Raw genomic sequence first — 19278 nt, 5'->3', positions numbered from 1 at the left:
AGCATGTGCCCTGCCTGGGCTCTGCAGTGGCCAGGTCCTGCCACCTCTGTCCTCCTGCAGGTATCCGTGCGGCCACTCCAGCACACGCAGTATGAGCGCTTCATCCCCTCGGCCTACCCCTACTACGCCAGCGCCTTCTCCATGATGCTGGGGCTCTTCATCTTCAGCATCGTCTTCTTGCACATGAAGGAGAAGGAGAAGTCCGACTGAGGGGCTAGAGCCCTCTCCGCACAGCGTGGAGACGGGGCAAGGAGGGGGGTTATTAGGATTGGTGGTTTTGTTTTGCTTTGTTTAAAGCCGTGGGAAAATGGCACAACTTTACCTCTGTGGGAGATGCAACACTGAGAGCCAAGGGGTGGGAGTTGGGATAATTTTTATATAAAAGAAGTTTTTCCACTTTGAATTGCTAAAAGTGGCATTTTTCCTATGTGCAGTCACTCCTCTCATTTCTAAAATAGGGACGTGGCCAGGCACGGTGGCTCATGCCTGTAATCCCAGCACTTTGGGAGGCCGAGGCAGGCGGCTCACGAGGTCAGGAGATCGAGACTATCCTGGCTAACACGGTAAAACCCTGTCTCTACTAAAAGTACAAAAAATTAGCTGGGCGTGGTGGTGGGCACCTGTAGTCCCAGCTACTCGGGAGGCTGAGGCAGGAGAAAGGCATGAATCCAAGAGGCAGAGCTTGCAGTGAGCTGAGATCACGCCATTGCACTCCAGCCTGGGCAACAGTGTTAAGACTCTGTCTCAAATATAAATAAATAAATAAATAAATAAATAAATAAATAAAAATAAAGCGAGATGTTGCCCTCAAACTTCACCTGGCCCCGGTCCTGGTTTGCTAATGGCTGTGGGTGGGGGTTGCTGTGGGTGATGACTGACTGGATACAAAATCCTAAGTGGCTTCATGAAATTTTGCCTAGGACTGGACTGTCTTTCTTTTAACTGTGAAATGATGGTTCTCCCTAACGTCTCCTCAAAGGATACAAGAAAGTTGTTGTTGCTAGTAGACCGAGGGGTGGGAATCACTGAAATGGAAAATCTAGATGACAGTGCTGGGGAAGAGAAAACTAGAACAGCTCAGTTGAAGACAACCTTTACTGCATGTTGACGCTGATTTAGGCAATAGCTTCCTAAAAATCATGTATAAAGTTAGTTAGTTAGACATGAAATCTCTTCCCCAATGTTGATACCTGCCCACAAAATATTCTCACCTTCAGAGTATAAGAATCATTCTTAAAGCCAAATATTCAGTTCAAGGCACATACGTCATCTGCAGTTGTAAATTTGCATTTAATATTTCACAATTCCTGTAAGAGAGGCTAGTCAGGAGGGAAACCCTCAAGTTTAAATCCCCACACTTACTTACTTACTGCTCATCCGTCACTTTCGCTAAGTGAGATTAATAATTCAGTAGCTGGTCCAGAACGCACAGCTTGGGAACGCAGAGGCCCAGGCCTCATGTAATTTCCCACTCCCGTAACTGAACGTGCTGACCCATGTTGATGTCTGCCTTCATCCAGGTGGCAAATCAGACATGCTACGCTGCCCCCTTCAAACGAGTTCCTCGTGTTAGGGGCAAAGGTCACAGCCAAACTCTGCCACTGACAGCCAGTGCCTTGGCCTGGATCCTCTCTGTGGATGCAGGCCTACCCCTCCTCAGTCCAGCCTCATCTACTAGACCAGCTTGGCCATTCACTTTTCAGATGTCTGTGAGCAGAGGACTGCAGACTGAACTCTCACTCAAGTTCTTCCATTTGCCAAGCCCGAGGCCTTTTCCGGCTAACCAGCCCTCTCTGCGCTGTCTTGTCTCCTGACTCCCACCCTCACCATTCACAGACCATCACGACACAGAGGATGCCATGTTCTTTTAGTAATTCACCAGCTCCATGCAGGGACATCACAGGGCTGCCCTCCATGAGCAGAGGAGGAGGGCTGCCTGGCAGAGCGTTTCACACTCCAGGTTAGCCAGAAAGAGCATCTTCATTTTTGTTTCCACACAACACTTCTCTGTGAGCCTGTTGGCCAACAAAGTGGCGGCCGATTGTTGGAGGAGCCAGCCAACCATCTTGTCTAACTTCAGATTCTTCAGGGCTAGAATATGTTCACCCCAGAGGCTTAGATGAAGCACATTTGCGGCTACTCGGGCAGATGGTCTCTGCAACAGGAAGGGAAGCTGTAGCTAGAACATCTGTTAACACAGTCTCAACCCAAAGCCTGCTTTGTTAGTGAGGGTCTTCCCTTCTCTGGTCCCAACCCAATTCTTCCTCTACCCTATCTCCTACTGATGCCCTTCACTCAGGTGACAAATACTGCCTGTCCCCTGCCCGTGCTCCAAGCTTTTCCATGTGTACACCTCTGCATGGGGCAGCATGCATTGTTGAAATAGCCTTTCCCCCTGGGTGGAAAGCCTAGTGCCTCTTGTGCACAGCTATCTGGTCCCTTGAACCAGGTAAGTAGTCTCCTCTATCATTTCATAACTGGTTGCAGCTGTTGTTCTAACCTTCACTGCGCACCAAGATAGCAGGCCACGTACAGAGAGCAGTTAACGGAGTGGCAGAACAGTGCTGGGGTGCAGGTATGGCTCAGCTCTTTGCACTAAGCCTGCCCCTGAGCCAGCTGCCACTCCAATTATGGCTTCGGATAGGTCTGCCTTTGCATTCCTTTATATTAATTTCACAATGTCCAGATCTGCTCTCAGGAGATGTTTTCCATCTCTCTCTGATCAGTTCTCAGCTGCTTCCATGAGCTACATCTCCATTAAACATTTCTCAAAAATGCCTCCTTTTCTCTCTCTGAATAGCCTTTTTTTTTTTTTTTTTTTTTTGAGACAAAGACTTGCACTGTCACCTAGGCCAGAGTGCAGTGGCGCGATCTTGGCTCACTGCAACCTCTGCCTCCAGGGTTCAAACGATTCTCCTGCTTCAGCCTCCCGAGTACCTGGAATTACAGGCGTGTGCCACGACACTCAGCTAATTTTTGTATTTTTAGTACAGACGGGGTTTTACCATGTTGGCCAGGCTGGACTGGAACTCCTGGTCCCAAGTGATCCACCCGCCTCAGCCTCCCAAAGTGCTGTGATTATAGGTGTAAGCCACCGTGTCTGGCCTCTGAACAACTTTTTCAGCAACTAAAAAAGCCACAGGAGTTGAACTGCTAGGATTCTGACTATGCTGTGGTGGCTAGTGCTCCTACTCCTACCTACATTAAAATCTGTTTTTTGTTCTCTTGTAACTAGCCTTTACCTTCCTAACACAGAGGATCTGTCACTGTGGCTCTGGCCCAAACCTGACCTTCACTCTGGAACGAGAACAGAGGTTTCTACCCACACCGTCCCCTCGAAGCCGGGGACAGCCTCACCTTGCTGGCCTCTCGCTGGAGCAGTGCCCTCACCAACTGTCTCACGTCTGGAGGCACTGACTCGGGCAGTGCAGGTAGCTGAGCCTCTTGGTAGCTGCGGCTTTCAAGGTGGGCCTTGCCCTGGCCGTAGAAGGGATTGACAAGCCCGAAGATTTCATAGGCGATGGCTCCCACTGCCCAGGCATCAGCCTTGCTGTAGTCAATCACTGCCCTGGGGCCAGGACGGGCCGTGGACACCTGCTCAGAAGCAGTGGGTGAGACATCACGCTGCCCGCCCATCTAACCTTTTCATGTCCTGCACATCACCTGATCCATGGGCTAATCTGAACTCTGTCCCAAGGAACCCAGAGCTTGAGTGAGCTGTGGCTCAGACCCAGAAGGGGTCTGCTTAGACCACCTGGTTTATGTGACAGGACTTGCATTCTCCTGGAACATGAGGGAACGCCGGAGGAAAGCAAAGTGGCAGGGAAGGAACTTGTGCCAAATTATGGGTCAGAAAAGATGGAGGTGTTGGGTTATCACAAGGCATCGAGTCTCCTGCATTCAGTGGACATGTGGGGGAAGGGCTGCCGATGGCGCATGACACACTCGGGACTCACCTCTGGGGCCATCAGACAGCCGTTTCCGCCCCGATCCACGTACCAGCTGCTGAAGGGCAACTGCAGGCCGATGCTCTCATCAGCCAGGCAGCAGCCAAAATCTGCGATCACCAGCCAGGGGCAGCCGTCTGGGAAGGAGCAAGCAAAGTGACCATTTCTCCTCCCCTCCTTCCCTCTGAGAGGCCCTCCTATGTCCCTACTAAAGCCACCAGCAAGACATAGCTGACAGGGGCTAATGGCTCAGTGTTGGCCCAGGAGGTCAGCAAGGCCTGAGAGCTGATCAGAAGGGCCTGCTGTGCGAACACGGAAATGCCTCCAGTAAGTACAGGCTGCAAAATCCCCAGGCAAAGGACTGTGTGGCTCAATTTAAATCATGTTCTAGTAATTGGAGCTGTCCCCAAGACCAAAGGAGCTAGAGCTTGGTTCAAATGATCTCCAAGGGCCCTTATACCCCAGGAGACTTTGATTTGAATTTGAAACCCCAAATCCAAACCTAAGAACCAGGTGCATTAAGAATCAGTTATTGCCGGGTGTGGTGGCCTGTAATGCCAACATTTTGGGAGGCCGAGGCGGGTAGATCACCTGAGGTCAGGAGTTCAAGACCAGCCTGGCCAACATGGTGAAACCCCTGTCTCTACTAAAAATACAAAAAAACTAGCCAGGCATGGTGGTGTGTGCCTGTATCCCAGCTACTCGGGAGGCTGAGACAGGAGAATTACTTGAACCTGGGAGGTGAAGGAGGCTGAGACAGGAGAATCACTTCAGCCTGAGCAACACAGCGAGACTCTGTCTCAGAAAAAATAAAAAAAGAATTGGTTATTTGTAAAAGGGTCCACACAAAATTCCTTTAAAAAGCCAGTTCCTGGCTGGGCGCAGTGGCTCACGCCTGTAATCCCAGAACTTTGGGAGGCCGAGGCAGGCGGATCACGAAGTCAGGAGTTCCAGATCAGCCTGACCAACATGGTGAAACCCCGTCTCTACTAAAAATACAAAAATCAGCCAGGTGTAGTGGCGTGTGCCTGTAATCCCAGCTACTCAGGAGGCTGAGGCGGGAGAATTGCTTGAACCCGATAGGCAGGGGTTGCAGTGAGCCAAGATCATGCCACTGCACTCCAGCCTGGGCGACAGAGTGAGACTCCGTCTCAAAAAAAAAAAAAAAAAAAAAAGCCAACTCCCAGCTGGGCGTGGTGGCTCATACCTGTAATCCCAACATTTTGGAGGCTGAGGTGGGTGGATCACTTGAGGCCAGGAGTTTGAGACCAGCCTGGCCAACAGTGAAACCCCATCTCCACTAAAAATAATAATCCCAGCGCTTTGGGAGGCCGAAGCAGGTGGATCACGAAGTCAGGAGATAGAGACCATCCTGGCTAACATGGTGAAACCCCGTCTGTACTAAAAATACAAAAAAATTAGCCGGGCGTGGTGGTGGGCGCCTGTAGTCCCAGCTACTCGGGAGGCTGAAGCAGGAGAATGGTGTGAACCTGGGAGGTAGAGCTTGCAGTGAGCCGAGATCATGCCATTGCACTCCAGCCTGGGTGACAGAGCGAGACTCAGTCTCAAAAAAAAAAAAAAAAAAAAATCAAAAATTAGCTAGGCGTGGTGGCACCTGCCTGTAATCCTAGCTACTCAGGAGGCGGAGGCACGAGAATTGCTTGAACCTGGGAAGCAGAGGTTGCAGTGAGCTGAGATGGCGCCACTGCACTCCAGCCTGGGCAACAAAGCAAGATTCTGTCTCAAATAAATAAATAAATAAATAAGTAAATAAATAAAGAAATAATAAAAGCCAGTTCCTCTAGTCAATTATTTTAAATCTTCTAGTTCAAAAATTTATCAGATGTATGAATCTCCTTACAATTTTCCTAGGCAAGTGGCCATTCAGCTTCTACTTGAATGCTTCCAGTGGTAGGCAACTCATTTCCAGAGGCAACTGGGCTTACATTTGGACAGCTTTCATTGTTTGAAAAATTTAATTAATTAATTAATTTATTTTGAGATGGACTCTCACTCTGTCGCCAGGCTGGAATGCAGTGGCACAATCTCGGCTCACTACAACCTCCGCCTCCCGGGTTCAAGCAATTCTCCTGCCTCAGCTTCCCAAGTAGCTGAGATTACAGGCGCCCGCCACCATGCCCAGCTAATTTTTGTATTTTTAGTAGAGATGGGGTTTCACCATGTTGGCCAGGATGGTCTCGATCTCTTGACCTCATGATCTGCCCGCCTCAGCCTCTCAAAGTGCTGGGATTACAGGCGTGAGCCACTACCCCCGGCCGAAAGTTATTTTTTATAATGAGCTAAAGTCTACTTCTCTTTTACTTTATTATTTTTTATTATTTTTTTGAGATAGGATCTCACTCTGCTGCCCAGGCTGGAGTACAGTGGCACATTCATAGCTCATTGCAGACTCTTAACTCCTAGGCTCAAGTGATCCTCCGACCTCAGCCTCCCAAGTAGCTGGGGCTACAGGTGCATGCCACCATGCCTGGCTAACTTTTTTTCCGGCTAATTTAAAACATATTTTTTTTTTGTAGAGAAGGGATCTCACTCTGTTTCCCAGGCTGGTCTCAAACTGCTGGCCTCAAGCAATCCTCAAGCAAGCCTCCCAAAGTGTTGGGATTACAGGTGTCAGCCACTGTGCCGGGCCTCTTTATTTACCTAGGAAAACTTGCAGCACTGAGGTCCTTGTTCTTTAAGTGGGCTAGAGAAAGGAACTTGGGAAGTGCTGTCTCTCTGCAAAGAGAGAAAAAAAAACCCCGTTCTAAGGGAGAGATTGCTAACCTCTTGTGTGCGGAGCTAAATAAAGACATGACTTAGAACACAAAACCAGAGAGGACCTGAAGAGTCAGTCCTAAATGCTCCTGACCCACCCTCTAGTGCCCCTGGAGAGCTCTGATGGTGCAGCAGGTTCCTACCTGGGTCCAGCTCCACAAGGATGTTGTCGGATTTCAGGTCTCTGTGCGCGATGCCCTGTTGAACCAGATGGTCCACGCCTTCCAGCAGCTGCAGCAGCATCATGGCGGCGAGGCGGGGGCTGGGTGTGTTCACACAAAGGTACTGGCGCAGGGTACAGGGATAGCTGGCGGAGAGGGGAGAGGGCCTCTGGCTACCACACATCGACGACTCCCAATACGTTTTTTTTTTTTTTTTTGAGATGGAGTCTCACTCTGTCGCCAAGCTGGAGTGCAGTAGCACGATCTTGGCTCACTGCAACCTCCACCTTCCAGGTTCAAGCAATTCTCCTACCTCAGCCTCCCGAGTAGCTGGGATTATAGGTGCCCGCCACCACACCAGGCTAATTTTTGTATGTTTAGTAGATACAGGGTTTCATCATGTTGGCCAGGCTGGTCTCAAACTCCTGACCTCAAGTGATCTACCCACCTCCGCCTTCCAAAGTGCTGGGATTACAGGCGTCAGCCACCATTCCCGGCCTCCTAATAACCTTAATCACTGTTAGGGTTAGGCCGTTCCTCTTCCCCTTCCAGGAGCACTTTGATTCCCACTTTTCCCCAGCATCCTTTCTGTTCCCTCCCACTCACCATCCTCAAATTAGGAAGTAAGAGTTGGGGCTCCCTATATTCAAAGTAATGGTGCAGATAATTATTTCCTTAAAATAAAATACCCACTATAGCAAAGTTAGGGGATACAGAGGGTGAGGAAGGAGAACGGTTTTTATGTTAAAAACAGATAAGTCCAGCCACAGAAAAGGTTAACAGTCAAATGGACCAAAAGGACTAGGTGACAAGTATGTTCTGGATGAAGATGAGAGTTTGTTTCCATGAAAAATCGTCCTACAGGGAAAATGCTCTCCAGGGCAGATATGTTCCCTTTGCATGGCTTTCTTCTCCGGAAGGGTGATGACCCTGTTCTCCAAAACCCCCTGATCAAGGTGCACATGGAGGGCAGGAACCAGCTCCCCTTGGGAGATGTATCAGCTCCAGGCCCTGCCGCGCTGCTGTCACTTACTTCTTCATAACGAGGAACAGCGTCCGGCCATGGCCCAGGCCTTCAGGGTGGAGGCGTGAGGGCAGCACATCAGGGTAGTCGACCAGGGCCCCTGGCAGCAGCGGCACGGAAGAGGTGAAGGCGCGGAGAACCCGGATGATGTTGGGGTGAGGGGCTAGTTGCTTGGGACCTCTCTTGGATTTTCTAGTCAGCCAAGTGAGACAAACATATGAGGCCAGCATCAGATACAACACCTGGAAAGAATAACCTAAGGCCACACCAACACTGGCACTGACATTCATTATTCACTTACTATCAAATGTTTATCATAGATTTGCTATGTGCCAGGTACTGTACATGGTGTTGGAGAACACATCTGATGACTCCCCTACCCATCCTTCAATCCATTTGTCCATCCGTCTGTCCGTCCGTCCATCCGTACACCCATCCATCCTATCCATCCCATGTGGCAGAACACAGGTGGAGAAACCCTGGTATCAGACTGCCTGGGTTTGCATTCCAGGTCTGCCACTGTAAGTCCTTGGCTGAGTTGCAGTAGCCCCAACCTTATCCACAGTTTTGCTTTCTGCAATTTCAGTTATCTACAGTTTGAGAATAGGTGAGTACAAGAAGATATTTAGAGAGAGGAGAGAGAGAGAGACCACATTCACATAACTTTTATTACAGTATATTGTCATAATTATTCTATTTTATTAGTTATCTTTAATTTTTTACTGTGCCTAATTTATAAATTAAACTTTACCATAGGTATGTGTGTATAGGAAAAAACACAGTATATATAGGGTTTGTTACTATCTGTGGCTTCAGGCATCCACTGGGGGATCTATCTTGGAATGTGTCCCCTCTGTCCTTATCTTCTCTGGGCTCAATCTCCAGGGTGCAAGGGGAATGCAGTGTTAACACGCTGCATAAGGTTGTCAAAGTGTGGAAGGCACCTAGAATCGTGTCTAGCACAGAGGAAGCTCTCAGCTGCTATTAGCTGTACTATTATTCATTCAACCAATACGCACTGTTTGCATGCTGAGTACCAGACATCATGCTGGAATGCTGTGGAACTATGGCACAGAACAAGACAGAGTCCCTGTCCTCATGGATTTGCAGTCTATCAGGGGAGAGAGATATTCATCAATGAGTAATCATGTGAGCTCCCTAAGAGCAAGGACTGTGCCTGAATTTTCTCCATTATTCCAAGTCTAGTACAGTAGTTGGCATAGAATATGGGTGTAATAAACCTTTGTTGAATAAGTGAATAGATCCAGATGCAGCTAGTAGTGGTAGTGTCATCTGCCTGCCCTGGCTGCTCCTTATCCTGTGGGGAGCGCCCCCCGACCCCCAAACCACAGCCCTGCTGAGGCACAGTGGCTGGATTTTGGATGGGGTGGCTCTGCCAGCTGTGTGCCAGCCCTGCCCTTCAGCCAAAGCTGACTGGCCCAAGGAGTCACCTGCCCCAACGGCAGTGAACCTACAGTGACACTCGAGACCCAGATGGTTGGACGAAGGGAAGGGAGGGAAGTAGATTCTCTTTTTGGGAGTGTGAGTGAAGAAATCTGCCAGTCTGCAGTGGAGAGGAAGCCACGATACTTCACTGGGGCCATGAGGAGCCAGAGGTGAGCAGGCCAAAGGGAAGCAGGAACAGGAGATGCGAGGAAAGAACAGCATGTGGACAGTGGAACCACGTTCCTACAAGTTCAAGAATCAGTAACTGATGGAAATTCCCGTGGCTCACTCCTGTAATCCCAGCAATTTGGGAGGCTGAGGCAGGCAATTGCTTGAGCCCAGGAGTTCGAGGCCAGCCCGGGCAACATGGAGAAACTCTGTCTCTACAAAAACTACAAAAATTAGCTGGGCATGGTGGCATGTGCCTGCAGACCCAGCTACTTGGGAGGCTGAGGTGGGAGGATCACTTGAGCCCAGGGAGGTTGAGGCTGCAGTGAGCCAAGATCACGCCACTGCTCTCCAGCCTGGGCAACAGAGTAAGACCCTGTCTCAGAAAAATAAAAGAAAATTTGAGTTTGCAGAAACCACTTTCTGAAAGGCTGAAACTCCCTCTGCTTATGAGATAAAAGAACTGGCTGAAATTGGTTGGAACCAATAAGGCCAATTGCAGCTTGCACAGAACAAGTTTGCTGATGTCAAAGCCTGAATTGCCACTGCACGTTTCATACTCACTCCTCCCAAATCTGCACAGGGGACCCATGAGTTGGCATGAACAGATAACTGTGCATGTCCAAGGACTGTCCAGACTTCTCCTTTCCTTCCATCAATCACCTGCTAATCTTAGAATCCACCCCTTAAACCTCCTCTAATAAAATTACCGCCTTAAAGCTAGCACAGGGAGACAGGGTTGAATTCAACTCCTGTCTCCATATGAGTCGACTCACAATAGAAAGCTTGGCTTTTCTCAAAAATCCAGTGTGACTGCTTCTAGCACATCAGGCTAGAGCCCCCTTTGCTGCATAACAATGGTGGAGGGAAGCGAATGGGGCAGAGCCTAGACGGTGCTGGGGAGAGAGCAGGGCACCGGCCTCTCCCAGCACTGCATGGTCCCCAGGCTGTGTGGCTGCAGTCCACGTGTGCCCACGCGCTGCTCCTGCTCTTGAGTCAACCTGAGTGGCCCCTGTTCTATGCAATCAAAGGAGCCAGAGCATCGTTTCCACCCTCGGGCCCCTGGGCAAGTCATGATCACAGCCCCAGGCTGTCAGGGCCCCAGCAGGTGTCATGGGAGCTCAGGGGCAGAGGAGTATGGCTGTACTGGGGAGATACATGGTGGGGTTGCGGGTGTCTGAACTGAGACCTGAAATGTGGGAGGAGGGCAGCCCAGGTATAGCCAGCTGTACGCTCAAGAGATGGTCACAGAGAAGCCTGGCACATTCGGGGAAGGAGCTATGAAGCCAGCGTGGTGGAGTGTAGGGTGCTGATGAGAAGGGTGAGAGATAAGGCGGGAGACGTGGTGAGATGAGCAGGTTAAGCGCCTTCAATCTCTGGGCCCCAGGAGAGCAGAGGCTAGGAGGAAATGAACCCAGGGTGTTCTTGGGAAAGCTTCTCCCAAGGTGTACCAGAAGTTGAGGTAATGTACCTGCTGCCACATCTATCCGGTCATTCAACAGGTATTTACTGAGGGTATGCAGTAAACAAAGAGTGTTTACAGTACAGCTGGAGCAAAAAGGAACCAACAGAAAAAGACGTGTTATTTGAGGCCAGACAGTGAGAACTGCTAAAGGAACAAAGTCCCTGAAGAGGGACAGGGACTATGTCAGATGGGAGGTCTCAGCAGCAGACATCATGGTGCTCCGGCAGCAGGACAGCACCACGTCGGCCGGCTGCCACTCATGCCACAAAAGGAGGCATCAAGGATCATGTTAGCCCCAAAGCAGCTGACATTCAGGTGTCCACTTTCTCCAAAAAGGCCTCAGGAGAAGCAGCAGCCACTTGAGCAGCTACCTCCACCGGCCTGCAGGGACTCCCAGTCACATTGGAAACCTCCAAACCATGGAAGGGGTTTTCCACAACCACTCCCTTAATTTCATACTTTTGCCTCCCTGCTTCTGACAGAATGAAGATCTATAAACCAGCCCTCCAGTAAATCACCAAAAATGCAGCAGACCCACCTCTTCTTGGTGGGTCTACAAATGAGAGACAGGGTCTCACTCCAGGGTCGCCCAGGCTGGAGTGCAGTGGCATGATCTTGGCTCACTGCAGCCTCAACCTCCCTGGACTCAAATGATCCTCCCGCCTCAGCCTCCTGAGTAGCTGGGATCACAGGCATTTGCCCCCATGCCCGGCTAAAATTTATTTTTTGTAAAGGCGGGGTTTCACCATGTTGCCCAGGCTGCTCTTGAACTCCTGGGCTCAAGTGATCTGCCTACCTCAGCCTCCCAAAGTGCTGGGATTACAGGCATGAGCCAGGCTGTAAATATTGAGGTGGGCACAAGTATCTCCTCTGTCATAGCCTGCGCGTCAGTCCTCACCACCTGTGGTGAGGCTGGTGGTGGACATGGGCTTTTCTGAGCTGAAAGCGTAGCTGCTGTTCACTTGCTCTTCCCTCTGCTGGGAATGCCACTTCCCTACTCCTCTGCCCAAGTAATGCCAATTCATCCTTCACAAGGTGGCACAAACTGTCCCTTTGAGAAGGCTTTCTGAGCAGCCCCTCCTCTGCAGCACACGCCTCCCCTGGGCTCCCTCAGCCCAAGCATACTCGATTCTAGCACTTACACCCTGGGCTCTCTGCTGCCACACTGAGACCTCTGGGCCAACAGACCACTTTTTGTTTTTTTTAAAATCTCTTGGCACCATCAGTGCACATAACTATTAGTGAAATGAGTGTTCCCTCTGGTGGGGACAGAGTTCAGTTTATTCCGATAGGTGGCGCTCTACCCGTGCATTTCTTAGGAGGAATCTGAGAACCCCAGTCAATCATGCAACACTGTGAACTGGGCATTTTTGGGGGGCCTCCTCTCCCCTGCTCCAATGTGAATTACGCAAGTGCATCATCATTTGGGGTCAGATTACCTGCAATCTTTCCCAAGTGAAATTATCCACTAACTGAAAATCCATCACCAACATTAAGCCTTTATTATCTACTGTCATATCAGACACTGTACCAGGTGCTGAGGACATAAGTGATGGATGAAGTTGCTCTCAAAGAAGTCCCAGTCAGTCTGGCAGGCAGAGGGCACTTACCTGTAAGTGACTGCTCCATACTCCCCAGCCAAGGCCACTCGGCTCGCTGGGACCAGCTCCTGGCTCATTGTGTTCAAGATGGCTTCGCTGGAGGAACCTGCCTGGAACACCCACAAGGAACCCAGGGTTACACAGGCCGGAGCAGAATGGTAAGTTCCTTGTAAGCCCTGCCTGTAACCTGGAGCAGGGCAGCTACTGCCTAGAATTGGCTCTGACCTTCGAGATAAGATGACCTGTCTTAACTGGCAGGCTGAGACTAGTTACTCCTGGGAGGCAGACAGAGGTACCATCCATGCCAACTCAGAGGATTCTTCACACTCCTCAAACTCTTGCAGCCTAGATGCCAGGGCTGGAGGAGATGCCAAGGTGATCAGGATATGGGGTGCTGCTTCCTGCCATCGGTGCCTCTGGTCCCCACCAGTTCAAAATTGACCACTGGATCACTAACTCATTCTGCAGGCTCCCTTCAGCAGCCAGGCCAGAGCCTGACATGCTCCACCCTGGGTGAAGTTGTACTGAATCACAGAACAGCCTTCCTCCATCCCCCACGACAAACAGACAAAAACCAAAGAGTGGGGAAAGCACCTTATTGTCCTCATTGTATTGGGAAGGGCTCTCAGGACATATGAAACCTGTATCAAGAAGATCTGGTAAGAATCAACAATCTTGTAGCTGCTGTGAATGCAACAGCTGTCATGCCCCAACCAGGGCATGTTTTGATGCTAAGACTGGATGTTTCACAGGCAAAGGATTTGGCTACTTGTTAGCTATTAACCCAGCTTGGAGTGCAACAGTCTAATAACCTTCATTCCCCAAATCAGAACAAGAAACTGCATCCTCTAGGGCCCACCATGAACGGCTGTGGCCACTTCCCACTGCGGCCTTGAATGGATGGGCCCAGGGATGGGCAGGAGACAGAGCATCGGGTCTTAATACATTTTTAAAACCTACCTAGCAATGGCAAGGTAAATAAATTAAGTGGACAGAAATTGTTTTCGTGGGGGAAAAATACTCTTCAATTTCCCAAAGTCTTGAGTCCTTCCAAGAGTTGAGAGTAGGGAGTTGACATGCAAGCCTCTGAGCTGGAGGTGGGCTTGCAGAGTGAGCTTAAAGGAAAGAGATCCAGTTCCCCCTCTCCAGTGAGGCAGGTTGCAGGAAGGAGGGGATGGTGAACTAACCAATCAAGGTAGAAATCAGTGGTTTAGGCACTTGTTACTCAAAGTGTGGTTGACAGAGCAGTGGCATTGGTATCACGTGGGAGCTTATTGGGAAGGCACAATCTTAGGCCCCATCCCTGACCTGCTGAATCAGAATCTACCTTTGGGTTTTTTTTGTTTGTTTGTTTTGTTTTGAGACAGGGTCTTACTCTGTTACCCAGGCTGGAGTGCAGTGCCACAATCTTGGATCACTGCAGCCTCTGCCTCTTGCACTCAAGTGATCCTCCCACTTCAGCCACCAGCCACCCAAGTAGCTAAGACTACATACAGGTGCAAGCTGTCACACCCGGCTAATTTTTGTATTTTTCATAGAGATGGGGTTTCATCATGTTGCCCAGGCTGGTCTCAAACTCCTGAGCTCAAGTGATTGGCCTCCCAAAGTGCTGGGATTACAGGCATGGTCCACCAGGCCTGGCCAAAATCTACCTTTGAACCTGATCTCTGGGTGATCTGTGGGCAGAATACAATTTCAAACATTCTGGTTTAGACTTCTGTGTAACAGGGGGAGGTAACCTGACTATACAGGCACCTTTCCTGTGGATAATCTGTCTTTTCCTACCTACTTCCTGGAAAAAATCCTCACCAGGCCCACTAAGATGGGCATTTTGAGAACATCTCCTTTAAAGATGAAAGGCCTGGTGCTTACCGAGATGTTCCACATCATCTTGATGGCCAAGGGGAAGGCAGGGGCCCCCGGAGCTCGCTCCTGCCCTTCTCCTGGTGCACTGGTACCTGGGCCTCTCCCTGGAAGCAACCCGGTGCTCTTTGTCACCTCCAGGTTCTGGGGCAATGTAGGCATGGTGGCTTCATACACAGCAGCACTGCAGCCCTTACCAATGGACTGCCCTATCAGATACTCCTCCAGCCGAAAGCCCTGCAAGCGTCTCGTGTCCAACGGGTCAGGCCCCGGCTTGCTTTTCTGGGTAAAAATTGCCTGTGATGAGAAAAGAATGCACCGTGAGCCAGGGAGCCTAGGAAGGCCCAAGAAAAGGGAAACAGGGGAGGCAGAGAGAGGTGCAGCAAGGCGTGGTCCACGTCGACCAGATCAATAAACCAGAAAAACACAACCCAACCAGGTTCTACTGCTCAGCCTGGGTCCAGGCCATCTTCTTTCTCATTATTCAGAATGATTTTTCTCAAACTCTGTTGCTTCACTGGGATCACAATACTCAATGATCTGAGAGGTCAGAAACCCCACGTCCCGCAGCCAGTGCACCTCTCCTTGCTGCCTTCACTCTCCAGCAGAGTTCTGGAGGTGTCTGATTATGGAGACAGCTCGCTCTGCAAAGACCTTGGCTGACGGCTCCTGGGCAACTAGCAGGAGTGTGTGATCCACAGTGATCTCAGAGGGTCTCTCAGGCAAGTGGGTGACATCAGGCGCATCCCCAGAGCAGAGGGATTCAGTACTGTCTTTCTCTCTCTGCCTCTTAGGGCCCCGATGAGGCTACTCTGTCCAGAAAGGTAGCAAGAGTACAAGAGTTCAGACAGAAATAGATGGAGGTGCAGGTGCTGGGGGCAGTGCTGCACTGGGAAAGAGGCCATGTGACAAAAATCTGGTGGGTCTTCCCCTGCTTCAGGCAGCGGTGACGTCACTCTTCCAGTCACCCAGGCTCCGCTTTCCCTCTCAAATGGTCTGATCTGCTGAGCTCTTCCTTTCCAAGGTTAGTCACCCCTGGGTGCCAGGCACAGCTCTGCATATGCCCCTTGGCCATAGCCTACCAGGCACCATCTCTAGACTACCCCACTCTCAGTGCCGTGCCTTCCCTGCTCTGAGCCACATCAAAATATGTTGCTTTCATGTGTCACTCGGCTGTCCATCAGACTGCCCAGGAGGTTATCTGTGTTCTGGCTGCTGCCAGGCTGGTCTGCACGCTGCCTGCACTCATCCTTTGGACGCCTCCCTCTGAAAGCTGCTCACAGCATCCTTCCAGCCCCTGTTTCTATAGTATTGCTCTGTCTGGCTCATCCCTGCTCAGCCATCAAGCCCAACTCAAGCTCCTCCTTCCTCTGTGACCAGCCCTGATGACCCAGCCCATGGCAACTTTCCTTCTAGAGGGTTCCTAAAGCACCTGCTATCTGTAAGCAACTTAACCTTGCACTATAACTTTGAACCTTTTAAAAAAATGAAAGTCCAGGCCGGGCGTGGTGGCTCATGCCTGTAATCCCAGCACTTTGGGAGGCCGAGGGAGGCGGATCATGAAGTCAGGAGTTCAAGACCAGCCTGGCCAACATAGTGAAACCCCGTCTCTACTAAAAAATACAAAAAATTAGCCGGGTGTGGTGGTGTGCACATGTAATCCCAGCTACTCAGGAGGCTGAGGCAGAAGAATTGCGTGAATCTGGGAGGTGGAGGTTGCAGTGAGCTGAGATCGTGCCATTGCACAGCCTGGGCGACGGTGTGAGACTCCGTATCAAAAAAAAAAAAGGAAAATCCAACTTCCCTTATAAACTTCATGGAGCAGAAGCAACGTGTGTGTGTATATATATAAAATATACTATATACTATTATATGGAACATACATATTATAGTATACACAACATATATACACATATACATATATATACACATTATATATATATTTTTATAATATAAATTTTTAGAGCTTGCTACTAGCACACTCCTGCTAGTTGCCCAGGATGGGGTGCAGTGTTGCAACTACAGCTCACTGCAGCCTCAAACTCCTGGGCTCAAGCAATCCACCCACCTCAGCCTCCTAAGTAGCTGGGACTATCGGCATGTGCCACCATGCCTAGCTAACTTTTTAATATTTTGTGGGAACAAGGTCTCACTATGTTGTCCCAGCTGGTCTTCAACTCCTGGGCTCAAGAGATTCTCTCACCTTGGCCTCCCAAAGCACCAGGATTATAGGCATGAGTCACCATGCCTGGCTTCAGAATTTTTTATTTTTTTATTTTTTATTTTTTTTGAGACGGAGTCTCACTCTGTCCTCTAGGCTGGAGTGCAGTGGCGCGATCTTGGCTCACTGCAAGCCCTGCCTCCCGGGTTCACGCCATTCTCCTGCCTCAGCCTCCCGAGTAGCTGGGACTACAGGCGCCTGCCACCATGCCTGGCTAATTTTTTTGTATTTTTAGTAGAGGCGGGGTTTCACCATGTTAGCCAGGATGGTCTCGATCTCCTGACCTCATGATCCGCCCGCCTTGGCCTCCCAAAGTGCTGAGATTACAGGCATGAGCCACCCCGCCCGGCCCAGAATTTTTTAAATGTGAAATTAATTCCAGCAAAAGTAGCCAGTGAAAACAACTTTTTCTCCCCCCAGTCAGAGTCTTGCTCTGTCACCCAGGCTGGAGTGCAGTGGCGTGATCTCAGCTCACTGCAACCTCCGCCTCCCGGGTTCAAGGAATTCTCCTGCCTCAGTCTCCCAAGTAGCTGGGATTACAGGCGCCCACCACTGCGCCCGGGTAATTTTTGTATTTTTAGTAGAGACAGGGTTCCACCATGTTGGCCAGGCTGGTCTCAAACTCCTGACCTCGTGATCCGCCCGCCTCAGCCTCCCAAAGTGCTGGGATTACAGGCATGAGCCACAGTGCCTGACCAAAAAAAATTTTTTTAATGTGAAATTAATTGATAACTAATAACATTTTCAGGCATAGGAGGGTGAAGTGTGCGAAGAAGGTGTGTGTGAATGGTAAGTTTAGGAGGATCAATCTCCTCAGTTAAAAAAGCCTCTTTAGTTTTAAGCAGGATTAGTCAAATTTCCCATCCTTAGCTTCTGCCAGTTAAGCTGTGGCAAAAGACAAGGTCAGGGGCTGGGGACTAGGCCAGATGTCACCTGTCACCCCAAACTGGCCAGAGCTCAAACATGAGACAGTGGTGATGAGCAATAAGAACTGGGATGGAAACCAGGAAACCCAGGAGCCACTGCTTGGCCCTAACAGCTGTGTCCTTGGGCAAGTCACTCCCTCTTCCACCACCTCAGCCCTAACCTGTAAAATGCAGGGGCTATGCTAATTTAGTGAGTGGTTCTACACCCCCAGGAAGAAGAGTGACCTCCCTGGAAGAAGATGGAATTCTGCCAGCGGCCAGGCTTCAAACCTGAACTGCACCGCTGGCTCCTCCCTGGCTCTCCAGCCTGCCCGCCTACTCTGCGGCTTTTAAGACTTTGCCAATCCCCATAGGGAGCCAGGTCCTCAAAATAAACCTGCCTCTATATAGACACATCCTATTGATTCCATTTGGAGAACCCTAATACAGACTTTGGTTGGGCAAAAAGAGAAGTCTTGTGCTATTTTAAGCATTAAAAAACCCTAAGAACCCTTGTGTATCCAGTCAGCAGGGATAACTCTACACAGGTAACTAAAATGTTAGGACTGTTTTTCTCGCCGTTCATAGTTTTTACTGCGGTTTCAGCTCTGTCACTACTAATCCTTTGGTTAAACGGCGGAGGCAGCCTGGCTCAGTGGTTAAGGGCACTGCATTTTATTAGCTGTGTGACTTCGAGCAAGTCCCTTCACCTGAGGACTTTCCTTCTCCATAAATTAGGGACGGCAACTACCTCAAAGGGATAGGAATGTTATGATTTAGTTGTCCGTACATTTTAGAAAATTTACACAAAGCCTTTTGCTGTGCTGCGACAGGAGCTGTAATCGGCAACATGTCTTCATTTGAGGAAGGGAAACATTAAAACAAATGGGAGGTGCTGGCTTTATTTATAGCAGCCGATCAGTAATGGTGAAATAGATGAGCTTTAAGGACCCTCGCCTCGGCCCTCGATCTGCTCAGAGCCCCGCCTCCACACCTAGCCCCGCCCCCACCCAGCTGAGGACCCGCCCCCGCGCTTAGCTCCGTCCTCCGCTCGGCTTAGGACCCGGCCCCGCTCACCTGGATCTCCTGACAGGCCGAGACCGCCCGCCGGCTCTCCGCCTGTTTTTCCTCGATGAGGCCCAGCCCTAGCCCGAAGGCCAGAAAGACTGCCCGGCCGCAAGGGCCCGCGCAGCCCCAGGCCCGCACCACGAACTGCCGCTGCAACCGCGCCGCCAGCCCGGCCACCGACTGGCGGAAGAAGCGGAGACGGTTAGGGAGCCCGAGCCCGACCCTGCGAGGCTCCGCGCCCGGTCCTGCGGCCCAGCCTGGACGCTCCCCGCGGACACAGCCCGCCGCCGGGCCCGGCCGCCCCAAGCCGTAGGCCCGGCCGGGCTTGCCCGTGAAGCGCAGCAGCAGCGCTCGACCCAGCTGCAGGCCGCGGCCCAGCGCCTGTCGCACCGCCATGGTGGCGCCGCGGCCCGGTGCCCCCGCAGCCGCCGCTGCCGCCACCACCGGCGTCCCCCGCCGGTCACAACAAACTTGGGGCGGTGCCTCTGCGCAGGCGCAGGCGCTGGTGGGCGGGGCCGGCCCCCGCGGCAGTTCCCCGACTCGGCGCGTGGGGGCGCTATGCTGGTACTGGCGCCTCTAGCAGTGACTTTCCCTTTGCACTTTGGACCCACGTGGAGGGCTTGCCGGTTCAGGC

The 19278-nt window shown here is 50.9% G+C and overlaps 2 protein-coding genes and 2 non-coding genes across 4 annotated transcripts in view, besides 1 other annotated feature; 2 read left to right on the top strand and 2 right to left on the bottom strand.

Annotated features, from left to right (window-relative positions):
* Positions 1-812, top strand: part of DDOST (dolichyl-diphosphooligosaccharide--protein glycosyltransferase non-catalytic subunit) — a 9593-nt gene extending 8781 nt beyond the window's left edge. The window contains exon 11 of the mRNA NM_005216.5: positions 61-812. Within this exon, the coding sequence (NP_005207.3) occupies positions 61-210 (150 nt within the window). The 3' untranslated portion in view covers positions 211-812. The remainder of the gene's footprint in view (positions 1-60) is intronic.
* Positions 396-9932, top strand: PINK1-AS (PINK1 antisense RNA). Its single transcript, NR_046507.1, has 3 exons — positions 396-4274; positions 6903-7004; positions 9471-9932.
* PINK1 (PTEN induced kinase 1) lies at positions 1078-19131 on the bottom strand. Its single transcript, NM_032409.3, has 8 exons — positions 18654-19131; positions 14460-14747; positions 12597-12697; positions 7917-8099; positions 6866-7029; positions 3957-4084; positions 3358-3594; positions 1078-2155 (listed from the first exon to the last, which is right to left on the bottom strand). The coding sequence occupies exons 1-8, from the start codon at positions 19038-19040 to the stop codon at positions 1898-1900; spliced, it is 1746 nt and encodes a 581-aa protein (NP_115785.1). The 5' UTR covers positions 19041-19131; the 3' UTR covers positions 1078-1897.
* On the bottom strand, positions 18801-18910 carry MIR6084 (microRNA 6084). Its single transcript, NR_106732.1, has one exon. It is a non-coding gene; the product is annotated as a microRNA 6084 (primary transcript).
* Positions 19039-19278: a silencer, noted in NCBI's record as "silent region_366". NCBI's record gives its function as "represses an Ori minimal core promoter by ATAC-STARR-seq in GM12878 lymphoblastoid cells {active_cell/tissue: GM12878}" and the evidence as "EXISTENCE:reporter gene assay evidence [ECO:0000049][PMID:35858748]".

This window comes from Homo sapiens, chromosome 1, assembly GCF_000001405.40.
Source record: "Homo sapiens chromosome 1, GRCh38.p14 Primary Assembly".
Lineage (NCBI taxonomy): Eukaryota > Metazoa > Chordata > Mammalia > Primates > Hominidae > Homo > Homo sapiens.
Note: the sequence above shows the minus strand (reverse complement) of the source record. Positions and strands in the feature narration are given on the sequence as shown.